This window comes from Homo sapiens, chromosome 12 (assembly GCF_000001405.40).
Source record: "Homo sapiens chromosome 12, GRCh38.p14 Primary Assembly".
Classification (NCBI taxonomy): domain Eukaryota; kingdom Metazoa; phylum Chordata; class Mammalia; order Primates; family Hominidae; genus Homo; species Homo sapiens.
Window position 1 is genome coordinate 103,887,619 of NC_000012.12, and position 16,299 is coordinate 103,903,917.

General features: G+C 43.6%; 1 pseudogene across 1 annotated transcript in view, besides 1 other annotated feature; it reads right to left on the bottom strand.

The window, feature by feature from the left end:
- Positions 1–16,299, bottom strand: part of TTC41P (tetratricopeptide repeat domain 41, pseudogene) — an 86,463-nt pseudogene that overhangs the window by 43,870 nt on the left and 26,294 nt on the right. Inside the window, exons 5-7 of the transcript NR_027249.1 lie at positions 9,353–9,505; positions 5,333–5,778; positions 1,783–2,012 (exon numbers count right to left, since the gene is read on the bottom strand). The product of NR_027249.1 is annotated as a tetratricopeptide repeat domain 41, pseudogene (transcript). The remainder of the gene's footprint in view (positions 1–1,782; positions 2,013–5,332; positions 5,779–9,352; positions 9,506–16,299) is intronic.
- Positions 13,747–14,248: an enhancer, noted in NCBI's record as "H3K27ac hESC enhancer chr12:104295143-104295644 (GRCh37/hg19 assembly coordinates)". NCBI's record gives its function as "activates a minimal SCP1, AML or CMV promoter by ChIP-STARR-seq in naive H9 embryonic stem cells {active_cell/tissue: H9 hESC(naive)}" and the evidence as "EXISTENCE:reporter gene assay evidence [ECO:0000049][PMID:30033119]".

Genomic DNA, 16,299 nt, shown 5'->3' on the forward strand with positions numbered 1-16,299 from the left:
AGGTTAGCCAATTTATGGTAGGAGTAATTTAGGTTACAAATTGAATATAATGCTAGATAGGGCATTAATTTCACAGGCAAGATGCATGCAGATGTATGTGACTAAGAGAGACCAGCTTACCTCAAAATGATTGATATGACATTTGGACAAGAGTCAAGAAAGAGAGCCCTTTACAACAACAACAAAAAGGAAAAAAAAAATCCAACATAGTGGATTCAAGTACTACAGCTCTGGCTTTTGGATCTTTCCCATCCTTGGAGGATGGGCTTATTTCTCCTGCCCAGGCCACATGGAGGTGAATTACTGCTATTACAATTCCTGATGCTACTCACAGCTTGATTCTGCAGCATGACATTTTTTTTTCCTGACAGTAGTGAATACTGTCAGCAGTGCTTTATGTGTGGGTAGACAGTGCAGCAAATGGGGTGCAATACACACCCAGAATTTTAACAGCCACACCATGACACTTTAGTCCCTGCACGACCAAGGGTATTAATGCTCTCAGGGAAATGGAGAAATTGAATGCATTGCAAACCATCACACAGCAAGTGAACAGAGGACCATACATAAATCTAAGAGCATCCTCATTCTTAGGCCTTCTCTCTCCTCCACATCACATAACTTGAGACAGTGGGAATGATTACAATGTAGGAGGGAAACAGTATAAAGGATTTATCTTGTTAAAAAGGAAAGTAAAAAAGAACATAGTAAAGTTAAAAGGAAATTTGCAGAGCTTGGAATCTTTCCGGTGACTGTGATTTAAAGACTTTTCAAGTCCTCAGACCTGAAGCGCTCTATGCAAGTAACTGACAAACAGTGCTCTGCTCCTAGGTCAGGTGTCTGTGACTGCCAAAGTTTCCTAGGTGCAGCCCTGCAGTCCTTTTCAGTAGGGGATACGAATTTGATTTCAGAATTAGAGAAGAGTTGAGAGGCTGAGGCGGGCAGATCACCTGAGGTCAGGAGTTCAAGACCAGCCTGGCCAACATGGTGAAACCCAGTCTCTACTAAAAAAATACAAAAGTTAGCCAGGCATTGTGGTGGGTGCCTGTAATCCCAGCTACTGGGGAAGCTGAAGCGGGAGAACTGTTTGAACCCAGGAGGCGGAGGTTGCAGTGAGCCGAGATCACAACATTGTACTCCAGCTTGGGAAACAAGAGCGAGACTCAAAAAAAAAAAAAAAAAGCAAACAATTGGAGCAGAGACAGAATCTATTTACCTCTTCTTTGTTAGTGTCAGAACACCACCTTGGTTTGGGGTAGCAATGCACCAAGTCGAAACCTCCATCCCCAGCTTCCCTCATATCTAGCTGTAGCCAACTAATGAAGTTCTGAGTCAAAGACTCTTAAGTGGAAATGTTGGTATGGAAATTCCAGAAAAGCTCCTTAAAAGAAAGTGGGGAGCCCTTCTTCCTCCCTTTCTCCTTCCTGATGGCTGGAGCTCCAGCAGCCATCCGATGAAGTGGCCTTGAGAATGCACGCAGTGTAGTGAATCAGGGACACAGAAGGAGCTGGGACCCAGGTGACTCTGTGGAGCCAACAGAGCAGCTCGGGACTGCCTGTTCCCAGAAGTCTATTATAGGCGAGAACAAACCCCAGCCATTGAAGTCAGGTCTCAGTTACTCATAATCAAGTACAAACCCTAACATATAACCATTTTTATATATGTCTGTGGATTTGTTTCTATGGGAAAAATCCCAACTACAAGGCTTCCCTTGTATGTGGCTCCTGCTTTCCCTTAACCCCTTAACCAGCAGGTATTTCCACAGACTCAAGCCTTACTTACCAAGAAGCTTGTGCTCCACTGCACTTCACAGGGACTGGTGCCAGAAATACAGGAGGCCATTGGGCTTCTCCTGGACCCACTGTTTGGTGGCGTTGCGGAAGGCAGCCCAGTGCAAGGCGGTCACTTTGTAATGATTCCTGTAGCCCAGCATGTCCAAAAGCTGGAGTAGCTCATCCTCAGCCAAGCCACCATGCGACAGGCACAGTAAGCACAGAGCGTCGGCCACCCAGCTGTCCAGTCCTGCACAGGCAACATGATGATGACAAGAATCAGAGCTAACATGAGCCAGGTATCTTTCTAAATGTTTTATATGATTCAACAACCTTCTTTTTCAATCATCCTATAGGAAATACTATTATAGCCCTTGTCAAATGAGGAAACGGAGCACAGAGAAGTGAAATAACTTACCCAAGGTCACACAGAAATAAATGCAGAACTGGGATTTGAACCCAGATAGCCTGGCTCCAGAGCCCATACATACTGTTAACCATTAAGCTATCATCCACAGTCACAACGAACACATCCAGAGCTCTGGTTACACACTGGAAAGCTTGCTGATGATTACACCAAGCATTTCTGCCTAGCAGTCTTTATTAAGGTTTTCCAACACCTAATTTGCATTTATGGCTGTGAGTGGTTTTTCTGTATGATTGTTCTCCTGTCGCACAGTCACAGACACCACTTAAGCCAGCTCTTCATTACCCACCTTACCCTTAGATTTTTCCACCATAGCTGGACCTCCTTCTGGCTTTATGATCAGCCGACTACAAAGAGATCCTTCAGACCATTCAGAGAAATGGTAACACACAGTCTACCACTCTGACTTTATCTCCTATGCTAGGACTAGGGAATGAGCCCAAATTACCTGCAATCTTGAAGCAAAGGCAGAGCTGTGCAACCCCAGTCAGCCAAGCTTCCCTGATGTTGGCCTTAGCATTTTTTTTTTTTTTTTAGACAGGGTCTCACTCTGTCACCCAGGCTAGAGTGCAGTGGCACAATTACAGTTCACTGCAACCTCGACCTCCTGGTCTCAGGCAATCCTCCCACCTCAGCCTCCCTAGTAGCTGGGACTATAGGTGCATGCCACTACATCTGACTGGTATTTTGTATATTTTGTAGAGACAGGGTTTCACCATGTTGCCCAGGCTGGTCTCAAACTCCTGGGCTCAAGTGGTCCACCCACCACGGCCTCCCAAAATGCTGGAATTAGAGGTGTGAGCCACTGCACCCAGCTGGCCTCAGCTTAACCAAGCTCTTCCTGCACCTGTGGCTGAGCTCCCTGGGCCTCAGTGGCAGTGGCTGGGCAGAGCTGGGGGGTGGAGCAGTCTTTGGTGGGGAGGAGACCTGGGCTTTCCTGCACAAACCTGGAGATGGAGGGCAACACAGCCACAGGCCACTTTGCCTGAGTGACTCTTCTAAGGGCACAGAGAACTAGTTTCCACCTCCTTGTAGGTGCAGCAGGGCGCAGTAAATTTGAAGTCAATTTTCTTTACAGAAATGCAAACTGTAGAACAAAAAAACAGGGCAGGACGATATGTTGCACCAATCAATGTGTCTTTCTTTCTTTCTTTTTTTTTTTTTTTTAAGAAGGAGTCTCACTCTGTGGCCCAGGCTGGAGTGCAGTGGCACTATCTTGGCTTACTACCACCTCCACCTCCCGGGTTAAAGTGATTCTCCTGCCTCAGCCTCCCAGGTAACTGAGATTACAGGCACGTGCCACCACACTCAGCTAATTTTTGTATTTTCAGTAGAGACAGGGTTTTGCCATGTTGCCTAAACTGGTCTCAAACTCCTGACCTCAAGTGATCAACCCACTTCAGAATCCCAAAGTGTTGGAATTACAGGCATGAACCACTGTGCCCAGCTGTGTCTTTCATTCCAAGTATTTTCTGCTTCTCACCCCCACTTCCCCATCCCTGCTCCATTTTAAATTCACTGCCCTTAAGAGAAGACTGTTATAGCAGAGAAAAACAGAGAAAAACTCAAGTTTCAAAATAGACTTTTGAAGTTCATGGTAGGAACAATGGCTTGAGGGAACAAATTTTGACTCTCAAAAGCCTGATTGTTGAATATCATAAAACACATTCCTGCAGCCAGGTGAGGTGGTGGCACACCTGTAATCTCAGCTACTCAGGAGGCTGAGACAGGAGGATCCCTTAAGTTGGAGGCCAGCCTAGGCAACATAGTGAGACCCTAGCTTAAAACAAAACAGACAAACAAAAAAAAAACTCTTGACTAACACATGGAATAAATTTTTTTTATGACAAACAATAAACTCAGATAAGTTCAGGGTGATCTAAAGAGGATTTTTCCCCCACTCAGGAGGAAAAGCATTTGTGGAACTGAGAAAGTACAGGAGAGAATCAGAGAGGAGAACAAGACTCAAGCAGAGCACAGAAGTTGGCTGAGGAGAGAGGACCCTCTGTTAGGATGTGGCCCCCATCAGACGGGAGCCACATAGATCCAGCAACCTAGAACAGATGGGCACACAGGTGTCCTAGAGGAAGCCAGAAGTGCAGATAAGTCAACATCTGTGGACCATGGAGACCATGGCCACCTAGGTGGAAGACGGCAGGGACAGAGAACAACCAAGGCCACCCAGCACCCAGGCCCTTGGATCTCAGATCAACCCAAAGGAGATATGGGAAGGCCACAAATCCTTGCCTGACTGAGAAAATCCTGAGCTCACTGAAAACAAACCATATTGATGGAATTAACCTGAAATGACTTGATGAGGTGTCTGCCATCAGCAGGCCTGTGGGCTCAGAAGAGAGATACATTGACTTATAGAAATAAGAAAGCTCCATTTCTTAGATTCTTGAAAAATGTGACTGAAATTTATGTCTAATACAGTTCTACTTACAGCCAACACACAGAGTCCTTTAGAGGAGCCAAATTTAGCAAATAAAAATACAGGATGCTCAGTAAAATATAAATTTCAGATAAACAATAAATTAATTTTTAGTGTTGAGTATGTCCTGTGTAATATTTGGGACATTCTTATACTGATAATTATTATTTATCTCTAATTCAAATAATTGTTAGCATAGGTATGTCCCATGCAATATCTCAGACATATTTCCACTAAAGATCATTTGTTGCTTATCTGAAATTCAAATTTCATTGGGCAGGCTGGGCATGGTGGCTCATGCCTGTAATCCCAGCACTTTGGGAGGGCGAGGTGGGTGGATCACCCGAGGTCAGGAGTATGAGACCAGACTGGCTAACATGGTGAAACTCTGTCTCTACTAAAAATACAAAAACTTAGCTGGATGTGGTGGCGGGTGCCTGTAATCCCAGCTACTCAGGAGGCTGGGACAGGAGAATCTCTTGAACCCAGGAGGCGGAGATTGCAGAGAACCAAGATCGTGCCACTGCACTCCACCCTGGGCGACAGATGAGACTCTGCCTCAAAAAAAAGAAAAATTTCACTGGGCATCCTGTGTTTTCCCTGACAACCCTGTCCCTAGAGCCCCCTTCCCTGTGCAGGAATCTACCACTCATCTTTCTCCCTGTGGACTCCCACTAAACTGTCAACAGTGGCCAAGGCCTACCTTCTCCTGAAGCCACAGTGTCTGAATTTGCCCTTTTGGGTTGAAACGTCCAACTGTAGTCTTCAATCCAGCGTTTGAGAACCAATTCCCAGAGCTCCTGAACAGAGACAGCCTCCAAGTACTCCTTCATACACTGAAACTCATTGTGGTTGATTCTATATTCTTTCAATTCATTGGCTAGGATTGTGAGTTTTAAAGGACTCAGGTCTGGTTTTTTCCTCAACGCCTGTGTGCTCTGTTCGAAGGGGTCCATCATGGGAATGGAGAGATGCTTTCTAAAGATGTTTAATTTTGTTTCTTCATCTCCTGTGCTAATGAGTTCCACTGTCCTCACATCCGGGCGGGCACACAACGACTTGTAGGACAGGCTGGAAGAGACAGTGCTCATGATAAATTTGCAATGAGGGGAGAGTGAGTGTGGCAGCCAGGAAAAATCTTTCACCTGATGGAGAGAATCAAAGACATTTGAAAACATTAAAGACTTTAAAATTACTTTGTTGATGGTTTTTCAACTTAGAGTAGGTACAATATGGGGAGTAAGTAGAGAATAAGGGTTGGATTGAAGGTTATTAATAGTAACTTGAATTGTAGGCATTATGGTGCTAAGAAAATATCAGGTCACACTCAATAGAACCGTATTTGACTCATGTGTCAGTTATGAATTTGATTGTGCAAATGCAAACTCTAAAAAGAGGAGGTTCCTAGGAGCAAGTAATTTAATAAAATCACGTAATTCTGAAGAATGACCTACAGGAATAACCAGAGGAAACTGGAGAGTGCAATTGGAACCATTCAGTTGAAAAAGAGGATGTTATTTTATGCTGAGAAGTTGTCACTTTGTGCAGCAATACTATCATGAGTTAAATCATTTTATTTTGGAACAAAATAAATACTTAATAAGATCAATCTTTTCTCAATTCCTTTAATAGCCTTTCCCACAATACCTCTTTGCCTAATAACACCAACCATCACATACTCACTCTGAGCCAGGCACTGTGTTGAATGTGTCTGTAGGTACTAACTGTATTAATTATGGTTTTTAATTTCTGCATCTTAGGATGATTTAACATTCCTCAGGACCTTACAGACCCAGCCCTTCCCAAGGCTAGCTAACTACTGGAGGTGGTGGACAGCCTGCCTGGAATCTGCCTTTAGCGTGCAGATCTAACTCACACAACAACCCTGCCCTAAATCAACCCAGGGCCAAATACCAGACAACTAGAGGCAGCCTCTGTGCCCAAAGCCCATCAGAATTATTCAAATTAAGCCTGGGCAACATACGGAGAACTCATCTCCACAAAAACATTTTTTTTTAGTTAGCTGGGCATGATGGCTCATACCCACAGCCTGCAGTCCCAGCTACTTAGGAGGCTGAGGTGGGAGGATGGCCTGAACCCGGGAGGTAAAGGCTATGATTGCCATGATTGCGCCACTGCACTCCAGCCTTAACTACAGAGCAAGATGCTGTCTCAAAAAAAAAAATTCAAATTAGCCAATCCTAAACTGTTTACCCTGCCCTGCCTTGCCATGCCTATAGAAACCCCAGTAAAGGCTCTGGCTTCAGTTTCCCCTTGCTCCTGTCCTCTGCCTCCTGACCACCCTTTCCCTGGGTCCCTGCACAGCGTGTCCCCTTCTCTCAGGAAACATAAGTAATGACTTCATCTTTCAGTGGTACCGGGCTCTCCATGTGGTCGCCCGACCATACCTCTATAAATTAAATCCTGGGCATAATTTTAATACATGAACTCATTCTATCCTCATGACAACACTCTAGAAAGGCAGAGAAAGAAACTCAAGGATAGAGGAGCTACATGCCTTATCTAATTCATTCTGCTAGCTTAAGTGGCAGAGCTGGGATTCAAACCAAGGGTCTGGCACCAGAGGCAGGCTCCTAATCGCTGCCCTAAACTGCTTCAGGTAACTGTCTGGCCATCCTTCCTCCTTCTAAAGAGCTCTGCCTCAGGCCATTCTTCTAGAAAGCCATCCCTTCATGAGAGGCTGTCACAATACTACATACCAATCTGTAGCAGCACATGTCACAGTTGCAATTTTATATTTATTTGAGTGATATGACTTCATTAATGTCTGCCATTCCCCACTAGAATGAAAGCTCCATTTCTTTGCAGGGATTATGTCTGTCTGTCCTTGCTAATAGTGCTTTGCCTATAGTAAGTGCTCATGGTATATATACAATTTTTTTTTGAGATGGAGTCTCACTCTGTCACCTAGGCTGGAGTGCCGTGGTGTCATCTCAGCTCACTGCAACCTCCACCTCCTGAGTTAAAGCAATTCTCCTGTCTCAGCCTCCCAAGTAGCTGAGATTACAGTTGTGCACCACCATGCCTAGCTAATTTTTTGTATTTTTTTTTTTAGTAGAGATGGGGTTTCACCATGTTGGTCAGGCTAGTTTCAAAATCCTGGCCTCAAGTGATCTGCCTGCCTTGGCCTCCTAAAGTGCTGGGATTACAGGCATGAGCTACCGACCCCAGCATTATGATATATTAAATTAAAAAGCAGGTTAGGAAACAATGTGGTGTGTAACTTCTTTACATAAATATGTATATGTATATGTATATATATATATATAGATATAGATATCCATAGGAAAAAGGGTATACAGCAGCAAAATAGTTACCAGTGGTGAGACTATGAGTGTATTTAATTTCCTATTTTCTTCTTTTTTATCATATTTTCTATGAGAAACAGATCTTATTCACATAACTGATTGATTACATAGAGTTTTAAGTTTTAAAGAAGCTGCTTCCCAAAGTAATAACTAGTGCCAAGTATTAGTAGAGGTTCCACTGATCCAATATTATTTCAAACAGGAGAAAAACTGAAGATGACAACTCATGAATGTGATTTTGTATGTGTAAAACCAGTGAAGATGAGGTAGGCCAAACTATAAAACACAAAAAACAGTAAGACTGATCAAAGTATAAAATAGGGGGCAGATATGTGCATGGGGAAAGGCCCCAGTGGCTGGAACCAGAATGCCCATGTCTGAATTCTGAGTCCACCACTTAACCATCTTAGGACCTTAGACAAGCCACCTACCATCTCTGTGCTCAGTTCGCCTTGTGTAAATGGGGAAGATGAGCACAGTCTCTTCCTCATATGGTTGTTGTGCGAATTAAATGCATTAATATTCTTTTTTGTTTTTGTTTTTGTTTTTTTGGAGATGGAGTTTCACTCCTGTTGCCCAGACTGGAGTGCAATGGTACAACCTTGGCTCACTGCAACCTCTGCCTCTCGGGTTCAAGCAATTCTCCTGCCTCAGCCTCCCAAGTAGCTGGGATTACAGGCGCCTGCCACCAAGCCCGGCTAATTTTTGTATTTTTAGTAGAGATGGGGTTTCACTATGTTGGCCAGGCTGGTCTTGAACTCCTGACCTCAGGTGATCCGCCCTCCTCGGCCTCCCAAAGTGCTGGGATTACGGGCGTGACCCACCATGCCCAGCCAAATGCATTAATGTTCTTAAAGTTCCTAAAATGGTGCCTGGCCCATTGTAAATACATTATAGAAGTATTTGTTCAATAAAATATAGAGCAGGGCTGGGTGCGGCGGCTCACACCTGTAATCCCAGCACTTTGGAAGGCAGGCTGGGAAGCTTGCTTGAGCCCAGGAGTTCAGGATCAGACTGGGCAACATAGCAAAACCTCATCTCTACAAAAAGTTGAAAAAATTAGCCAGGCATGGTGGTGTGCACCTGCAGTCTGGAAGCTGAGGCAAGAGGATGGCTTGAGCCCAGGAGTTGGAGGTTACAGTGAGCTATGATCATCCCACTGCACTCCAGCTTGGGCAACACAGCAAGACCCTGTCTCTTAATTAATTAAAATATAAAGCAGTAACTAAAAGCAGTGTTGGCTAAAACCAGAGATGTGTGATACAATGGAAAGGTGTTATATATAATACATCCTAAATAATGAAGTTTTTATTCTTTTTATTTCTTTTTTTAAATTGTTTTATTTTTATAAAGTTGTGATAAAATAGGGGTTATTTTAAAAAGACATTACCTTCTGACCTGAAATCCCATAAATGCCAATCAGTTCTTCAATTCCATCTAGTACAAGTATGCATGGCTTTAAACTGATGGAAGCAATGAATACTTCCACAAGAAATGAGAAGACCAAGCCATCTGAGTCTTCGTTGAGAATATCTGTTTCAAGCTGAGTACCTACAGCATAGAAATTTGTTCAAATTAGGTAGAAATGATTCCGTCATTGCTAAAACATGTTTATGGGCTGGGGAAGCAGAAGAGGTTGGGAAAAATGAGTGCTACTCACAGCTGTACGTCTAACACACATATGTATACATGTGATTACCATCTTCAAAATATTCAGCCCAGAAGAGATAATAGCGATGTTTACCACCAGATTGTCTCCAATACATTTTCAGGATTTGATATAAAAAAATTTTTGTGTGATCCAAAACATTACTCTCATCTTCCAGAATGCAAAAACAGGTCATGTTACAAAGAGTTGGATACGAAGAGAAGCCCTGTGATCTGTGAAGTTTCTGACACTCCTTAACATTGGGTGCGTGCTTAGGGTCACAGCCACCACCCTGGGCTCTTCCAGTAATGCTCAAATATAGAAGCTCCCACCCACTGTCTCGTTTCCTTGGCCCTAGCCCATCTTCAACTTAACAGAAATAATCCTAAACTCTAGCCACACTATTGGGCCCTAGACTTTGGATTCTGGAAAGTATACATTCTTAGAAAGAACTAAGCTATGAACCCCCAAAAGGCAAAGGAAGTCATTAGAGATGATTGACTTTCAGACTGTGATAAAGTGACCTAGCAGCAACCCCAAGTTGTCATCAACTACCTAATACCCTAAGAACATTTTACTGCAAATTCCGTCTTGCTTTTATTTTTCACAAGCAATATTTTCCACAGAAATTTAAGCACATTGAGGTCTGGAAAATACAGTCACATGTAGAACCTTTAATGGATTAGGTCTCTCAGATGCATTAAGATTTTGTTAGAGTCGTTGAGAGTAATTATGTTTAGCAAATATTTATCAGTTGCCTATTATGTGACGGTTCCATGCTAGATGCCGAGAGGAGATAAAATGATTCATATATGAAGTCAACCACCTAAAGGAAGTGGAAATTGGTTCTGTATACAAATAGCCAAATTTCAAGGCAGAATATGAGTCTGGAGGCTGCTGAAGCTTGATGTAGAACCATCACAATAAAGAACCATCACAATAAAGAAAAGCTCTGTGTGAAAGACACTTCAAATAAGCCTTTAAGGGTACATAGGCAGAGACGAGGAGAAGGGCATATCATCAAGACAGCACAGCCAAAGGCTGGGACATAGGAAGGTACCATGAACAGTTGAAAAACAGGACATTGCTTAGAGCAGTAGTTCTTAACAGGAGAGGTTCCAGGGTTTTGAGACATCCTACAACACAGGACAGCCACACCCAATGAAGCTTTGCCCCCAGGTCTACCTGACGTTCAGATATTTCGACAATCACGTAAGGGGGAGAAAAAAATTGATAATGACCTAACCTAGAAACCAACTCCATTTTACATATAAACACAAACTATTTTTTTGTATGGTTTTAAAACACACTGAATTTTCTAGAATGTAACACCACATAAATTGATGGAAGATTATACATTGTTTTGTCTAAAATGACACCAAGATTTAGTCACCATTTCAGAAAATCACCACCCAATAGCAATATTGCCTATGATGTTTGGTCTTTTTTTTTCCTTTTTCTTTCTTTTTTTTTTTTTTTTTTTTTGAAATGGAGTCTCACTCTGTCACCCAGGCTGGAGTACAGTGGCATGATCTTGGCTCACTGCAACCTCTGCCTCCCAGGTTCAAGCGATTCTCCTGCCTCAGCCTCTCGAGTAGCTGGTACTACAGGCACACGCCACCAAGCCTGGCTAATTTTTTGCATTTTTAGTAGAGACGTATTTTCACCATGTTGGCCAAGCTGGTCTCGAACTCCCAACCTCAGATGATCCTGCCTGCCTCGGCCTCCCAAAGTGCTAGGATTACAGACGTCAGCCACCATGCCCGGCCAATATTTGAGTCTTTAATATGACACACCCACATCAACCTATATTTATAGACTGAAACTTATTGCTTTTATGGTGATTTCCTATACAGAGGCACTACGTCTTTGATTCAAGTCTGCGCATTTACATGTTCAAATACACATTGTTTTATAATAAGTTACTTTCTCTATATTCATCTTTTTATAGTATAGTAGAGTTGTGTTAACTTTTAAAGAGATTTTTATAACACAAAGCGATCATAAAATCGATTACTTGAAACTTTTTTTATGAATGTGGGACATTAAGAAAGTGAAGGTGTCAGAAAAGATAGAGATTGAGCTTATGTCAAACAATGAAAAATGATTTTCAAGAAAGGGAAGAGAAAGAAATTCAGCTGATGATTCATCCCTTGAGTTTTTATTTAAAAACCTTTAAAATTATGGGCATCGTTGAGATTTCAGAACTGAAACGACAGAATTTTAGAGCAGAAGGGGTTCTTGGAAATCATCTAGGCTAGTCCAGACCCTTCATTTTGTAGATGAGGAAACTGAGGCCCAGAGAAGTGAAGGGAATGTGAACACACAGATCATCAGGAGCTTTTAAAATACTATTTTTTCTAATGATTTGTTTTCAAGCCATGTGTGGCCCCCATTTCTTTTTTTTTTTTTTTTTTTTTTTTATTTTTTTTTTTTTGAGACGGAGTCTCGCTCTGTCGCTCAGGCTGGAGTGCAGTGGCGGGATCTCGGCTCACTGCAAGCTCCGCCTCCCGGGTTCACGCCATTCTCCTGCCTCAGCCTCCCAAGTAGCTGGGACTACAGGCGCCCGCCACTACGCCCGGCTAATTTTTTGTATTTTTAGTAGAGACGGGGTTTCACCGTTTTAGCCGGGATGGTCTCGATCTCCTGACCTCGTGATCCGCCCGCCTCGGCCTCCCAAAGTGCTGGGATTACAGGCGTGAGCCACCGCGCCCGGCCCCCCATTTCTTAGTGTAGATGGCTCACAAGCAGCCCCTGTCAGAGCCCACAGAGGTGTGGATCCTCTGCCTCTTCCACACGGTTGGCATAGAGTGTAAATGACAAGGTGAATGTGAATGAACCTCAGGAAGTATATACTGCCTGACAGTCACAGAGCATAGAGCACTAATATAATCAGCAAAAATTAATTCTAAGCAAAAAAAAAAATACTCATGGCTGATGCTTATAGATATATATCTTTATATATGAAGGAAAATATATATGTTGAGTGGTTTTAAAATCACATTTTTGGTGACTATAATTATTTTTTCTGAAAATAATGTTGACAATAAAGTCAGTGTTACTAGTATTGGAAAATGATTCTAAACATTTCTCCTTATTTTGGCAAGAACAATCTGTCTCTACTAAATGACAATGGCCAATTACCTCATTTAAATGGTAATAGCTCACGTGTTTAAACAGCCACTTTTTAGCAGTGTTATCTCTCATCATTCAACATAGGTTTATTGAGAAGCTTCTGTGTCTGTGTCAGGCACTGGGTATGACAATGGCCAATAAAATAGATATGATCCCTGCACTCACAGAACTTACACAGGGAGACAAACAATAAGACAGATCACAGGACCATTTATAATTCACCTGAGGGATCTAGGGAGGCAAGCTCACAGTGTCTGGAGGGAGACACTTGTGAAAACTAAGACGCAGTGGGACTGGGGGTCCTGTGCCACGTGGTCAAAGTTAGGGCTGAGGGACAGAGGTACCCATCAGTCCCTCTTATGGAGGGGGTGACCTTCGAATAGGGCCATAAAGGATGAGAAGGATTCCACTGCCCTGAGACAAGGGAAGGGGCATTTTAGGAGAAGAGAACTGCATGGGCAAAGGCATGGAGGGATGGAAGTGACTGGAGTGCTCCAAGATCAAACCTGTAGGGCAAAGGGAAAGAGATCAGGCTGGGAAGTCAACAGGGCCCAGGGTGAAAAGCTTGGCAAGCTCTGCCAAGGATTTCTGTCCATTCCACATCACCAACTTGAGCAGAGACTTTCCCGATGCTAGGAGAGGAGACTGATAAAAAGCATCCACAGGAGGGAAATTTTCCTTTGCTGGCTCAAGGAGGATGGCAGTGTAGTGATGAGGACTAGGGGCTTAGATCCCAACAGAGACCTGAGTTTGCACTCCCTGCTATGCCCTTGCTTAGCTGTGTGGCTCTGACATTCTGAGCCCCATTCTTCCTATGTGGGATGATAATTCTATGGGTGGACCATTAAGAGCATTAAATGAGATGCTGATAAAGCCCTTAGCGCCGCTACATAGAAAGCCTTCAATAAATGGAACTTATTCAAACCTGCCCCCAGATTCCATGTGGTCACATGGTAAGGAAACATGCAAATATGAAAATCAGTGACCATGCTGAGCATGGTAGCACACGCCTGTAATTACAGCACTTTGGGAAGCTGAGTTTGGATGATTGCTTGAGCCCAGGAGTTCAAGACCCTGTCTGTACAAAAAATTAAAAAATTAGCCAGGCATGGTGGCACACTCCTGAGGTTCCAGCTACCAGGAGGGCTGAGGTGGGAAGATCACTTGAGCCCAGGAGGTCAAGGCTGTAGTGAGCCGTGATCACACCACTGCACTCTAGCCTGGATAACAGAGGAAGACCCTGTCTCAAAAGAGAAAAACGAAAGAAAAAAGTCAGTGACTACTCTGACCTTCCGTGAAGCATGTCTTCTGTGACACCAGTTGCCTGCAAGGCAGGCAAAGGGTGTGGGAGTCGGTAGAGCTGGCTACAGGCAGGTCCCATCTACAAGATCCCTTTATCCTGACAAGCAGGGATTGAGGACCGAAGAGTAGAAACATGAGTGTCACTGGGTGTGATTAGGTGCCCCAGATAGAAAGGGTCCCTGGCTCACAGCCCACGCAGGATCTGCAGCTTCAGACAGCTGAGGTGGGGTGCAGAAAAATGCTCTCTGCAAAGAGGCTGAATCTGCTCTGAGCACCTGGCCTCTCAGGCTGGCTGTGTTCACAGCAGCAGCTCTTCCTCCTCTGCCCACATCCACCTCACCCAGGTGAAACCAGGTCTCAGCAAAGGCAGCCACAATAAATGACTCTGGGGCCAGCCTTCTCCGCTCACCTGCAGGCTTTCTGGGCTGCAGAGATGACAGCTGCAAACTCTTGTTTTTGCAGTCCTTCCTCTCCCTACTCAGCTAATGAACAAGAATGTCTTGTTTCCCCTAGCAGCCCCTACACCCTGCTTCTTTCTCTAGCTCAGAAAGGAATAATAACAATAACAATAATAAATAATAACAACAACAATAATCGCAGCTGCGTGCCATGTACTACTTTAAATTCCTTACTTGTATTTTGTATTATGTTTTTTGGGTTTTTTTAACGCAGCTTTTTTAAATTTTGTATTATGTTTTAATTCTCACACAGCCTTATGAGGTTAGTACTGTGAACCCCATTCTCATTTTACAGATGAGAAATTGGGGAACAGAGAGCTTAAGCAAACTGCCCAAGATCACACAGTTAATAAGTGACAGAGCCAGAATTGTGGGCCAAGTCCAGGACCAGCCCTTCCTCTTGTTAATGAGGAGGGGTGTTCTCTCAGGGTTAGAAAGTGTCAAGTATTCGTAGGCTGTTCCTGAACTTATTCTACTGTTGTCAGCTTAAAAATCTGGTTTTTTTTGAAAGACAGCAGCTGTTTTTATTAGGAGTTCTTTGCATCCAAACACACGTTCATTAAAATAACAATTCACTTTGGGAATAAAATCGTAATTGAGTGTGTAGCACGGAGTTTACATCATCAGCCTGGCCAGACTGAACACCTTTGGGATGTGCCAGAATAGGATTAGTTGCTGTGTAGACACAGTCACACCTGCTTCTACTGATTTTGACTTTATCCATTTTATATGCCCTGAGAAATGCAACCATAAAGACCTCATCCACACGTGTTCTTCCCTCTGTTTACTCACAGACACCCACCACATGCACAGAAAGAAGCTCAAATCCCTGTACCCTTTTATAGAGATAAGATGCACCCATCAAAATTCACCCTGGGCACCCACATACTCACTTAGGGCCCAAAGGCACACACGGGTACGTGTCCCTGCATGACAAGAGATGAATTCCCAAAAGCAAGCAAAGTCAGACACATACAAACATGGAAATACACAGCAGGCGCCTAACAATAGTAATAGCTAAGATTTATCAATGCTTACTCTATGCCAATGCTTACTAAGAGCCTTGGTCTTTCATACTTTATCTCAGTTAATCTTGTCAACTACCTGTAAGGCACATTTTAAAAATAATTATTATTACCCACTTTTTACAAATAGGAAAACTGAGCCACAGAGGGTTAAAATAACTCACCCAGGGTCACACAGCTAATAGGTAGTGAGACAAGGTTTGAACGCAAGTGGTCAGACTCCCTAGCTGCTCCTAGCACAGTCAGGCACAATACAGGTCCCACACGATTGTGATTACACGTTGGCCCACACCTGGCAACTTAAATATCACGTGCCCAAAGCAGAACTCCATTTCCCTCAAAACCTGCTTCCCCTCCACCGCCCCACCAACGCTGGCCCATCTCAGTCAACAGCCCTCGCCACCCATGTAGCTTCTTAAAGCCAAAAGCTAGGAGTTCTCAATTCCTCCCTTTCCTCCAAACCACACATTCAATTCATCAGCAAATCCTCAATCCACCCAAAACCCTCCACCTCCACTGCTATTGTCCTCTCTGAGCCACTGTCATCTCTGGCTTGGACTATTGCAGTAGCCTCTAACACCTGTCTCTGCCTCATGCTTGTCTCCTTACACACATTTTCCACACACCAGATTGATTTTGGTCTTTTAAAAATATTAATCGAATCATGTCATTCCCCTGCTTAAAACCCTCCACTGGCCTCCCACTGCACTTAATAGAATCCAAACCTAATGTTATGGCCTGCAAAGCCCAGAGTGGCCCCACCTGGAGT